Genomic DNA, 11,978 nt, shown 5'->3' with positions numbered 1-11,978 from the left:
TTCAGATGTGCCCAAGTCTCGAAACTGATTCAATAATTGTGCCCCTATTATGTCTTCTATATCACAAATATTTCTGTACTGAATCATATTTTAAACATATTAGGATGAGTCATTAAAAGACTCCCTACACTTTGTTCTTTCGCAGACTATGGCTTTATTCTGTGAGTTAACTACCACGGCTCAGTATGTTTGTTTACAAATTCATTTTTATGTTCAAAGGGTTTCCATACAATTGGACACCACTTTTTTTAAGGAGGTGAAATTGCAGCAGGATGAACCTGACAGTAATAATAAGCGAAGTTTTTCTGATTATATACGTAAAACTTCAACACAAGTCACCAAGGTAGGAAGAGAATTCACATTTCCTGAATATTTTTTGAAATCATATCTCATTTGTCTGGAAAGGATTAAGATCAGCCCTGCAGAGGTCTGCTCTGAGGCTCCTTGTTTAGCGAGTCTGTGATTTAGGGATATCTGTCCATAGTCATTCTGCAGGAAAGATGAGGGTAGGTGAGCATCTGCACTCAGGGTAGGAGGGAAGGTAGGGTAGGTATGTGAAGCAGTTTGCTCTTTAGATGATGGCACACAGAAGCTGACCTAAAGAACAAATCATCACAGCGACTGGCCATCAGATGGCGAGAATAATGGTGATTGTTTTGTTGTTTTTAAATATTGTGTATATTTTTGCTCAACACATATGTTATGCTGCTACAAAACGGACACAGTGAGACTAAAAATATGTCTCAGTGTTTCATACTACCAGTGCTTTATTTAGGGGACTTGATTTTGATTCCTTACTGAAAAGGATGTTTTCCAAAGCCTTGGAGAGATGGGAATGAACGCGATGCTAATACAGCTTTTTTGAAAGCCTAAAATCGATTCATCACCTAGAGACCTCTAGGGTTTCATCCTCCTTTCCTTTCCTTTTTGACTCCTATATTACAGAAAAAGGCAAAGTGCCAGATTTAGAGCTTACAAAACAAATACAAAAGCAAAAAACCCACAAAAATCACCACCACCATCACCACTGAACAACCGTGTCTTAGAATCATATCTCTTTCACTTGCTGGTTAAATGGCCTTGACTTCTCTGAGCCTCTTACTCTAGATGGAAGATGAAACAATGCAAACATGATGCTTAGAACATCACAGGACCTCAATGGTGGCCATTAATTACAGGTTTGATGTGAGGACTATGAATTCATATTTGTGAAAATATTTGGAAATCTATGCATTGTTAAATTATGCATCGTTACTATTTCTTGGTGTAATTATATATACATTTTTTAACCTTTAAGTTCAGGGGTGCAAGTGCAGGCTTGTTTCATGGATGAATTTGACACATGGGGGTTTGTGGTACAAATTATTTTATGACCAAGGTATTAAGCCTTGTACCCTTTGGTCATCTTTCCTGATCCTCTCCCTCCTCCCACTCTCCACCCTCCAAAAGGCTCCAGTGAGTTTTATTCTTCTGTGTCCATGTGTTCTCATCATTTAGCTCCCACTTATAAATGAGAACACGCAGCATTTGGTTTTCTGTTCCTGTGTTAGTTTGCTAAGGATAACGACCTCCAGTTCTATCCATGTCCCTGCAAAGGGCATGATCTCATTCGTTTTTATGGCTGTGCTGTATTCCATTGTGTATACATACCACTGTTTCTTTATCCAGTCTGTCTTTGGTGGGCATTTATGTTGATTCCATGTCTTTGCTATTGTGAATAGTGATGTCTTTATAACAGAATGATTTATATTCCTTTGGGTATATACCCAGTAATGGGATTGCTGGGTCAAATGCTGGTTCAATTTTTGTCTTTAGGTCTTTGAGGAATCACCACACTGTCTTCCATAATGGTTGAACTAATTTACACTCCTACCAACAGTGGATAAGCATTCCTGTTTCTCCATAACCTTGCCAGCATCAGTTATTTTTTGACTTTTTAATAATAGTCATTCAGACCAGTATTAGATGGTATCTCATTGTGGTTTTGATTTGCATTTCTCTAATGTTCAGTGATATTGAGCTTTTTTCATATGATTGTTTGCCACGTGTATATCTTCTTTTGAAAAGAGTCTGTTTATGTCCTTGGTGCAATTATATTTCAAATAGGTGAATTTTTACCTGTCTGTGTCTACCTACTTGATATGGTTTGACTATGTCCCCACCCAAATCTCATTTTGAATTATAGTTCCCATAATCCCCAAGTGTTGTGGGAGGGACTCCATGGGAGGTGACTAGATCATGGGGGCTGTTCTCATGATAGTGAGTTCTCATGAGAACTGATGGTTTTATAAGAGGCATTTCCCCCCTTCACTCTGCACTTCTCTGTGCTGCTGCCATGTGAAGGATGTGTTTGCTTCCCCTTCTGCCAGATTGTAAGTTTCCTGAGGCCTCCCCAGCCCTGCAGAACTGCAAGTCAATTAAACTTCTTTCCTTTATAAATTACCCAGTCTCGGGTATTGCTTCATAGCAGTGTGAGAATGGACTAATACACTACTCTCCCCAACCAAGCTTCAGCCCTAGCCTACCACCTGCTGTATTCTCTTTGAATTGGAGGAAACACCATCACCTTCATTTTTAGGTAAATCTTAAGCATCTTATAGCTACTGCTAAAGGCCTGGGTCAGCAAGCGCCTGAGGAGCCGGGGAAGTTTCTATCAGCAGGAATTGCAGTTCTGATGAAATTCATAACATGCCTGTCATACAGTGCTTGAGAATATGGAGGCCCAGATCTCAGATTAATACCCAGAAAGCCACATTTTATTCATGAATGCCAAGTCACACTAACCTGGGGAAGTCCTTGGAGTCTTAACTGGGACTTTCCTGACCGCTTTCTGACCTGCACCATCTTTTTTTTTTAACTGTGGTACAATATACACACCATAAATTTATCATCTTAACAATTTTTAAGTGTAGAATTTAATGGAATTAAGTACATTTACATTGTTGTGCAACCATCACGACTATTCATCTCCAGAATGCTTTTCATCTTATAAAACTGAAATTCTGTACTCACTAAACACTAATTACCTATCTCTCTTCCCTCAGCCCCTGGCAGCCACCACTCTAGTTTCTATCTCTATAGATTTGTCTACTCTCAGTATCTCATATAAGTGGAATCATATACTATTTCTCCTTTCGTGACTTATTTCATTTAGCATCATGTTCGCAAGATTCATCCTTGAGACATGCGTCACCCCTTTTTGTGTGAGGAGGAAGCGGCAGCTACACCCCTAGAAGCATTTAGGGGGTGTCGAGGAACCAACACATTGAGTCTCCGTGAGGTCATTGGGTACTGACAACAATCCAAGGTGAGATATCAATGCTAGCCTTACTTGTAACTGGTGATGATAAACCACGATCAGCAGCTCTTGACATTCCAGGGGTTCTGAAAAGAATTCTAGGAGAGAAGGACTCCCAGCAGAAAAGCACTGGGAGGCAGCTCTTACGTGCAGGCAGTCACTACATGGAAACTTGTGGTAGGGTTTCTCACTGCAGGGGAAGGCTCACTATAGCAGCACTTTCTCTCTCTATTTCACAGATGCCATCAGGAGGGATCTTTGGCTTGGGGAAACACTGTTTTCTCTTCCTGCCTTTGGGTGACTGTACAAACTTAAAAAAAAAAAAAAGAAAAAAAAAAAAAGAAACCCTCCAGCTTCAGCACAGCTCCACACAGGGTGTCTAGCCAAAATGCAAAGTTTTACCACAGTGCACAGGCAGACAGTGTTTTTCAAGTGCGGGAACAGAGTGAGGTGCCTTTCAGCACCTTTTTCGGCACTTCTTTAAAAAATGATTTAAATTGGAGGCAATAGCACCAAATGCTGAACATCTGACACGCAGACAAGACTTAATGAATCATACACTTTAACAACATCACTCTTCTCTAGCCACTTGACTTGGCGTCCATGGTTGTTGGTTTTTTCTCCCCCACAAAAACATTTGTTCTGCAGACTATTTGCTAGTTAGAGTGTCCTGGGCAACTCTTCATATTCATGGCAGGGAGAACTGGCCCAGGAAAACCTGCAGACCTGAGTTCCTCTTAGAGTCTTCTCTTTCTCTCTGGATCTGAATTTCAGAGAGAAAGGACAGCAGTGCTCCTTAGAGACTGGACTTAGAACCACCTTTAGTCTATCCCCAGCTTAATCTCTTGCAGAATATTCAAGTTGCACAACCAAATGTTTTCAACCCTACAACATCCAGCATGATCATGACTGATTTGAATCAAAATACTAAAAAGCACGTCATTTTGTAGGTAGAAGAATTCTAATTCAGAGGAAAAGACAGTAATTCTGAGTATTGCGTTGGAGTGAATCATTATCCTTGGTGTCATAAATTAAACCTCACTTGGCAGGGGATGGTAGTATAGCTCATAGCTTGCTGATAATTGCCAAGGGCACAGGCAGAGTGGACAGAGGCTGCCCAGCTTTGACAAGGATTGTGCATCAGTGTCTCACCTGCCTTTCTGATGGGTAACTGTCTGATCATTAGTCTGCTGGCACTCAGCACCATGGGCAGGGAGGATGATGAGGCCATTCCTTCTGTGACGGCAATGCATGCAAACAATTTAATCTTCCACTCCAATTCTTAATGTAAATGTTTAATATAAACCTGATGTTAACATGATGTACATGAATTTACTGGCAGGCAAAGCTGGGATTTACATTATGCTGAAAATCAGATGTTCTTTACAGCCGGGGTTGGGAAAGCCCTTAGAGATGGCAAAGATTTCTTTTTCGGTGGCAGGTGTACCATGCCCATGGCATCATGGGGGACCAGCCACTCACCAATGCTGACCCTGTGACTAGCAGGTAGAATTTAGCTAATGTCAAAAGAGTACAATGGTTCAGTAAAAATATGAATTTCTATGTCTAAAATTTTCTATGTCTTCTTCTGACACAGAAAATGTCCACTCTTGGCTGTGTGTGGACATTGGATGATTATTGGATCACCCCACACCCAAATCCAATAATTTCTTTGCAGACTGTTCCATGAATAACAACCTAGACTCTAGACCACCAGCTGACAAACTAAAGTCCGTGGGCCAAATTAGGCCCGCAGCCTGTTTCTGTATGGCCGCAAGCTAAGAATAGTTTTTACATTTTTAAATGGTTGGAGGAAAAAAACAAAATATTTTATGGCATGTAAAAATTATATGAAATTCAAATGGCAGTCTCCATAAATAAAGTTCCATTGGCACACAGCCATACTCATTCATTTATGTACTGTCTATGGCTGCTTTTACACCACGATTGCAGAGTTGAACAGTGGTCACAGTGACTATAAGCCCACAGAAACTAAAATATTTGCTATTTGTCTCTTCACATAAAATGTTGGCACAGCCTTGCTCTGGATAGCCCATACACTATGATGCTGTTGATAACAGTAGCTAGCAACTGCTGATTGCTTTTTTGTACTAGGTGTATATATTGACTGCCCCATTGGCACATGTAGTATACAAAATCACTTTTAAAAAATTAAGTGTTTATAGCATTGTCATCTACCTTTTTGTGCTCCTTTAGATTTAGGCTCTTCTACATGTTAATGCTTATTGGGAAGGAGATTTGTAACAATCCTTCAAAGTTTACCATATTCCCAGATGTTTGATGCTTTATAAATCAGGTAAGTATTTCACAAAACTGGCTGATCATCAGTATTACCAGGGGATCTTAAAGGATGCCTGTGCTGGCCTGGTGCAGTGGCTCATGCCTGTAATCCCAGTACTTTGGGAGGCCGAGGCGGGTGGATCACCTGAGGTTAGGAGTTCGACACCAGCCTGGCCAACATGGTGAAACCCCGTCTCTACTAAAAATACAAAAAATTAGCTGATGTGGTAGCACACGCCTGTAATCCCAGCTACTCAGAAGGCTGAGGCATGAGAATCGCTCAAACCAGGGAGGCAGAGGTTGCAGTGAGCCGAGACTGCGCCACTGTACTCCAGCCTGGGCAACAAAGTGAGACTCCATCTCAAAAAAACAAAACAAAACCAAACAAAAGCCTGCGCATAATGAAGCAGGATCTGGGGATGGAAACGAAGACTTTTGTGTGACTTTTATAAGTCCCACCAGTGATGCTAAGAATCAACCTGATTTGGGAACAACTGGACAAGCTACAGTCATGCACCATATAACAGCTTTTTGGTCAATGGCAAGCTGCATATACAATGGTCCCATTAGATTATAACGGAGCTGAAAATTCCTATCACCTGGTGACATTGTAGTCACCATGCGATAAGATATTCCTCACGGGTTTGTGGTGATGCTGATGTAAAGAAACGTACACTGCCAATAATATAAAGCTCTAGCATGTACAAGTACATATGGTACCTAATACTTAATAGTGACAATAAACGACTGTTACTGGTTTATGTATTTACTATACTATGCTTCTAACACTATTTTAGAGAGTACTCCTTCTACTTACATTTTTTTAAAAAGTGAACTGTAAAACAGCCTCAGGTCCTTCAGGAGGTGCTCCATAAGGCAGCATTGCTATCACAGGAGATGACAGCTCCATGCATATTATTGCCCCTGAAGAGCTTCCAGTGGGACAAGATGTGGAGGTGGAAGAGAGTGATATTTATAACCCTGATCCTGTGTTAGGCTTAAGCTAACGTGTGTGTTTGTGTTTTCGTTTTTAACAAAAGTGTTTAAAAAGCAAAAAATAAATAATTTCAAAATAGGAAAAAGGCTTATAAAGTAAGGGCATAAAGAAAATATTTTTGTACAGCTATACAATGTGTTTGTGTTTTAATCTGAGTGCTATTACAAAATAGTCAAAGTTTTAAAAAATTGGAATGTTTATAAAGTAAGAAGTTATAGTAAGCTAAGGTTAACTTGTTATTGAAGAAAGAAAAACTTATTTTATATATTTTTTTGAGACAGTCTCGCTCTGTCGCCCAGGCTGGGGTGCAATGGTGCAATCTCAGCTCATTGCAACCTCCGCCTCTCGGGTTCAAGCAATTCTCCTACCTCAGCATCCTGAGTAGCTGGGATTATAGGCATGTGCCACCACGCCCAGCTAATTTTTGTGTTTTTAGTAGAGACAGGGTTTCGTCATGTTGGCCAGGCTGGTCTTAAACTCCTGGCCTCAGGTGATCCACCCGCCTCAGCCTCCCAAAGTGCTGGGATTACAGGCGTGAGCCACCGTACCCGGCCCGAAAAACACTTTTTAAAATAGATTTAGTGTAGCCTAAGTGTAGTGTTTATAAAGTCTATAGTCATGTACAGTAATGTCCTAGTCCCTCACATTCACTCACCACTGACCCACAGCAACTTCCAGTCCTGCAAGCTCTGTTCATGGTAAGTGCCTTATACAGGTGTACCATCTTTTTCTCTTTTATACCATATTTTACTGAACCTTTTCTATGTTTTGATATGTTTGCATATACAAATACTGGTCATTGTGTTACAATTGCCTACTTCATTCAGCACAGTAATATATTGTATAGGATTGTAGCTTAGGAGAAATAATTCTCAGAAAGGATCTCTGTCATTAAATGACACAGAACTATAATTTTATGTTTCAGAGAGTTATGTCATGTATTGTAGATAGCACCTAATTTGAAACTCCTTCAGAGAAGCTGACTTCCCTATTAAAAAAAAAATCTCTAGCCTTTCAATCTATCTATCTATCTATCTATTATTATTATTATTATTATTTTGAGATGGAGTCTCGCTCTGTCGCCCAGGCTGGAGTTCAGTGGAGCATTCTCGGCTCACTGCAAGCTCTGTCTCCCAGGTTCACGCCATTCTCCTGCCTCAGCCTCTCGAGTAGCTGGGATTACAGGCTCCCACAACCATGCCCGGCTAATTTTTTGTATTTTTAGTAGAGATGGGGTTTCACCTTGTTAGCCAGGATGGTCTCGATCTCCTGACCTCGTGATCTGCCCGCCTCGACCTCTCAAAGCGCTGGGATTACAGGCGTGAGTCACCGCGCCCGGCCTTCTAACCCTTATTGAAGTAGCAAGATAGGACCCTGTATACAGAGTGCCTAAACCTAGTAACTTGAATGACTAGATAGCATGATTCCTGATGACATGTATTGACTCCCTTCCCCTTCTTATGAAAGAATTCCCCTATGCAAACAACATTGCACCCATAGAACACTGAATTCTTAGGTGAAGATATTACAGCAGCCTAGGACTTACCTCATTAGAGCACTCCAGCACTCCTTCTGTTCCCAGCCAAATTTTCACTAGAGAGCCAGATTGATCTTAATTGAGAATGAAATTTTCTACCTGGTCTTAGTGTAACCTCCTAGGAAGGTGAGGTGAAATTATCAACAAATTCAAAATCTGCACTTTCATGATGGGAACCTAATTTTTTCCTCTAAGCTTTTAGGATTAATTTCTCTAGTTTATAGGCTGTATGGAAATGTCCCAAGGTCCCTTTGGCTCCCTGAATGAAATAATTAGCTGCACATGCTATCCAACACTCTTCTATACTTTGGCCCCTCATTAGTTTCAAATCTCAGTTTAATTTCCAGGAGAAATAGTTCAGGGTTTCCTGAGACTTAGCAATTGAATCTGGCTGACTGCAGGGGGTCTCATATCCAGACTGCCTTTTTCCTGATTCTCCACCCACTTTTCGCCACCTTTTTCCCCCAGTCAGATCTCCGTAAGATGCAGTTTTGCTGCCTCTTGCGTGTGCAAATGGGACAGACCAGAAATTGTTTCCTGAAAACCAAATGCTTCTGTTTGCTCTCTTTCTAATTACTCCTGGAGTTTGATGTGAAACCAGTAGCTTTCTGGCCTAGGTTTTCTTAAGTCTATCCCCGGTAAACTGGTGCAACCCTAGAATCAAGTGGTTAAGCTGTTAACTAAGAAAAATGATGCGAATTCATGTCATTTATTCATTTGATGTGAATCATATGTAAATACCAGGATTTTTTTTTTTTTTTTTTTTTTTAACATTGTAAACCTGAACTCTATGGTTAGTGCTTTTTTGGTTTCAACCTTCATATGCATGCTGTGGGTTTGACCGGCCTAGAGAAAAATGAGAGGTTAGATCTCATCAGGGCGTTTTGAATCCCGTTTTCAGCACCAAGTCAAGTACATAGTAGATCTTAAATAAGACGAGACTATTTTAAGATAACACTCTGTTATTGTTATAAAGTTTCAGGTTTTAAAAACTACCTCGATTAACTCATATATTACTCTTCCTGGAAATGTAACAAAATGAAAGGTATATTCCATATATTCTATTACTTTGGGTAAAAGTTCTCAAAGTTCTTCCCTGGATGATTTGTTAGCTCAGATGTTAGATTGATTAGGTTACTTTTAAAAAAAATGTTTGTTTATAGAGACAGGATCTTGCTATGTTGCCCACGCTGGTCTTGAACCTCTGGGCTCAAGCGATCCACCTGCCTTGACCTTCCGAAGTCCTGGGCTTACAGGCATGAGCCACCACACCCAGCCGCAATTAGGTTTTCACTGATGACTTTGGACAAATTAATTTCTCTGATACTTATTTTTCTCATCTATAAGATGGGAGTAGTAATACCCTAAACTAGAGGGTTCAAATGAGAATGAAATAAAAACTTATTTAAGTACAGATTTTGGCACACAAATATGTTTCCACTCGTCTGTACCCCAACTCCCTCCATCCCATGTCTTCATTCCAGGAAAACAAAGTTTTAATGGGAGACTTCTAGGTGACTTTACCCTAAGTTATGCATTCAATTCCTGGGAATCACCTCTGCTCCAATTTACTTTTGTATGATGGCTTGAAGAGTTGGGTTATTACAACTATGTCTGGGCAGGTAAACCCTTGTTAGATGCGCTGAAGGCAGACTGCAGATAAACTGGGCTGAGTTCTCCCATATACTTATTTTCATCGGTCACATGCCTTACCAAATCTTTCTCTTAAATTGTTAAAGAAAGTTAATGTGATGGCTAATCCAAGATGGTGTTTAGAGAGCCTACTTTTCCTCTGGATTTACAAAAATAAGCAAATAATGTGGAAATTTTGAGATGTTAGGAAGCCATGAGAGATAATATATAAGGAAGAGATATAAGAAATGGTCTTGTACTATTTTGCAAAATGATATTACACTGGCCATTTGTCATGTCTAGGAAAATATGAACACGTCTAAAGTGCAGTGCTTTGCGTATAATTTACATAAGAAGTGGGGAGGTGAACTGGGTGAACACACTCCAGTAAGTACTACTTCTGGACATTTCTTTTGCATCTTTGATATAGATTATTTTTTCCTCCTGGCATTTGAGACCTCTGATAATTATGTTTTTGAAAAGCAGAGATACTCTGGAAAACGTGAATTTTAGTATCAAGGAGAAATAAATTGGATTTTGAATTCTGTTTATCAGCTGTTCCCGATTAGGCAAGGGTCTCAAATTTGTTGACCTTTAATTCCCTCATAGCTATGTTTTTTCCTGTGTTTGTATTGAGAATTAATGGGTTAATGTGTGTGTACACTCAGCATATACTAGCTGCTTAGTTCCATGTCAGGGTTCATATTTCAGTGTTCAAAATGTGGCCAGTTTTGTTTCAGGCACTTAAGTCTTCCTTAAGCTTTCCTGGATATATTGTAGGCTTGTATTTGCTGCCTTAGTTGTCTTTTGCTTCTGTTGGGTGGCTTTCCTCCTGTTGAATCACCTACTCAAAATGATCTTCTTACCCAAGTCAGTAACTTCAGTCTTTAGATTCATAGTCATCAATTCATTCACAACCTAGTTCAATGCCTCAATCCCCCAAAATCTTTCCTTGACCAACTGCATTTTATGACCCGTCATTTATTCATTGTTGCGTTCATACTTCTGTGCATATTTTGAACTATAATACTTTTGCTTTCTTTCCAGCTGTAATTATTTGACACATGCCTATTTTCTCGTCTCTTTCAGACGATAATTCAAAAGGCAGAGATTGTGGCCTAATGCTATGTCAATCAAAGGAATGATAGTATCTAAGACCATGCCGATCATACAATAGGCAACTACATAAGGCTTGTTAGTGTGAATTTACTTGATTTCATATGAAAAATGACTACAAAATTACTTATTGGTCTTGTCCTTTTATTGCTTGGTTTATAACCTTGTTGCTTACTTGATACTGGCTGAGAATGGAGGGTATTGGTTAAAAGTTGCCATTATTATGTACCAAGGTCAGCAAAGCAGTTAGTTCTCAAATACCCAGCTTATTTTTTTTTTTTTGGACATTTTTGTGGGTATGCGGTAGGTGTGTAAATTTATGAGGTATACGAGATATTTTGATAAAGGCATACAACGCATAATAATCACATCAGGGTACATGGGGTATCCATCACTTCAAGCGTTTCTCATTTCTTTGTGTTACAAACAATCCATTGATACTCTTTTCATTATTTTAAAGTGTACGTAATTACTATTGACTGTAGCCTCTGGTAGCCATCCTTCTGTCTTCATGAGTTCAATTGTTTTAAGTTTTAGCACCCACAAATAAATGAGAACATGCAAAGCTTGTCTTTCTGTGATGTCAGATTTATTCTGGAAGCAGAGTTTGGCTTCTTGAAGTTGAAAAAAGATGAAACTGGAATCTGGTTACTTTTCCCAGAGGTTCACTCCAGCTCCTAGCCTGCTGATTTCCACTAGAATGAAATTACTAGCTTCAGGATGACACTCCTATGCCCCATTCCTGCCTGGTAGCTTGTGGGTTATGATACAAATTGTGGGATACTAACTTGGTAAATTCTCCCCAAACTAACAGAACATTTTTGGAGTGATGTTACATTGAATTTCAGTTGCCATGGTAACTCAAGTCCCCTTTCCTCCTACATATTCCCCATTGCACGTCTTCATCTTTAATCTTCTGCAATCTTGAATCAGTGATCATCCTAGAAATGGACAAAAAGAGAGACTTGTATCAGGATCCCCTTAGGTTCAGGAAAAAAAAATTGTGACACGACTGTCTCAATAAGAAAGTTTAAGTGACACAATAAAATATCCTATTGATAGGGAAATGTAGGTTTGATTAATTCTTCAGGTCAGAG

The 11,978-nt window shown here is 39.7% G+C and overlaps 5 annotated features.

Annotated features, from left to right (window-relative positions):
* Positions 2,177-2,246: an enhancer, noted in NCBI's record as "active region_12665". NCBI's record gives its function as "activates an Ori minimal core promoter by ATAC-STARR-seq in GM12878 lymphoblastoid cells {active_cell/tissue: GM12878}" and the evidence as "EXISTENCE:reporter gene assay evidence [ECO:0000049][PMID:35858748]".
* Positions 2,767-2,916: an enhancer, noted in NCBI's record as "active region_12664". NCBI's record gives its function as "activates an Ori minimal core promoter by ATAC-STARR-seq in GM12878 lymphoblastoid cells {active_cell/tissue: GM12878}" and the evidence as "EXISTENCE:reporter gene assay evidence [ECO:0000049][PMID:35858748]".
* Positions 3,107-3,446: an enhancer, noted in NCBI's record as "active region_12663". NCBI's record gives its function as "activates an Ori minimal core promoter by ATAC-STARR-seq in GM12878 lymphoblastoid cells {active_cell/tissue: GM12878}" and the evidence as "EXISTENCE:reporter gene assay evidence [ECO:0000049][PMID:35858748]".
* Positions 3,567-3,636: a silencer, noted in NCBI's record as "silent region_8909". NCBI's record gives its function as "represses an Ori minimal core promoter by ATAC-STARR-seq in GM12878 lymphoblastoid cells {active_cell/tissue: GM12878}" and the evidence as "EXISTENCE:reporter gene assay evidence [ECO:0000049][PMID:35858748]".
* Positions 3,847-3,926: an enhancer, noted in NCBI's record as "active region_12662". NCBI's record gives its function as "activates an Ori minimal core promoter by ATAC-STARR-seq in GM12878 lymphoblastoid cells {active_cell/tissue: GM12878}" and the evidence as "EXISTENCE:reporter gene assay evidence [ECO:0000049][PMID:35858748]".

The sequence above is a fragment of the Homo sapiens genome, chromosome 17, assembly GCF_000001405.40.
Source record: "Homo sapiens chromosome 17, GRCh38.p14 Primary Assembly".
Taxonomy (NCBI): domain Eukaryota; kingdom Metazoa; phylum Chordata; class Mammalia; order Primates; family Hominidae; genus Homo; species Homo sapiens.
The sequence above is the reverse complement of the archived record's forward strand: the minus strand, read 5'-3'. Positions and strand labels throughout refer to the sequence as shown.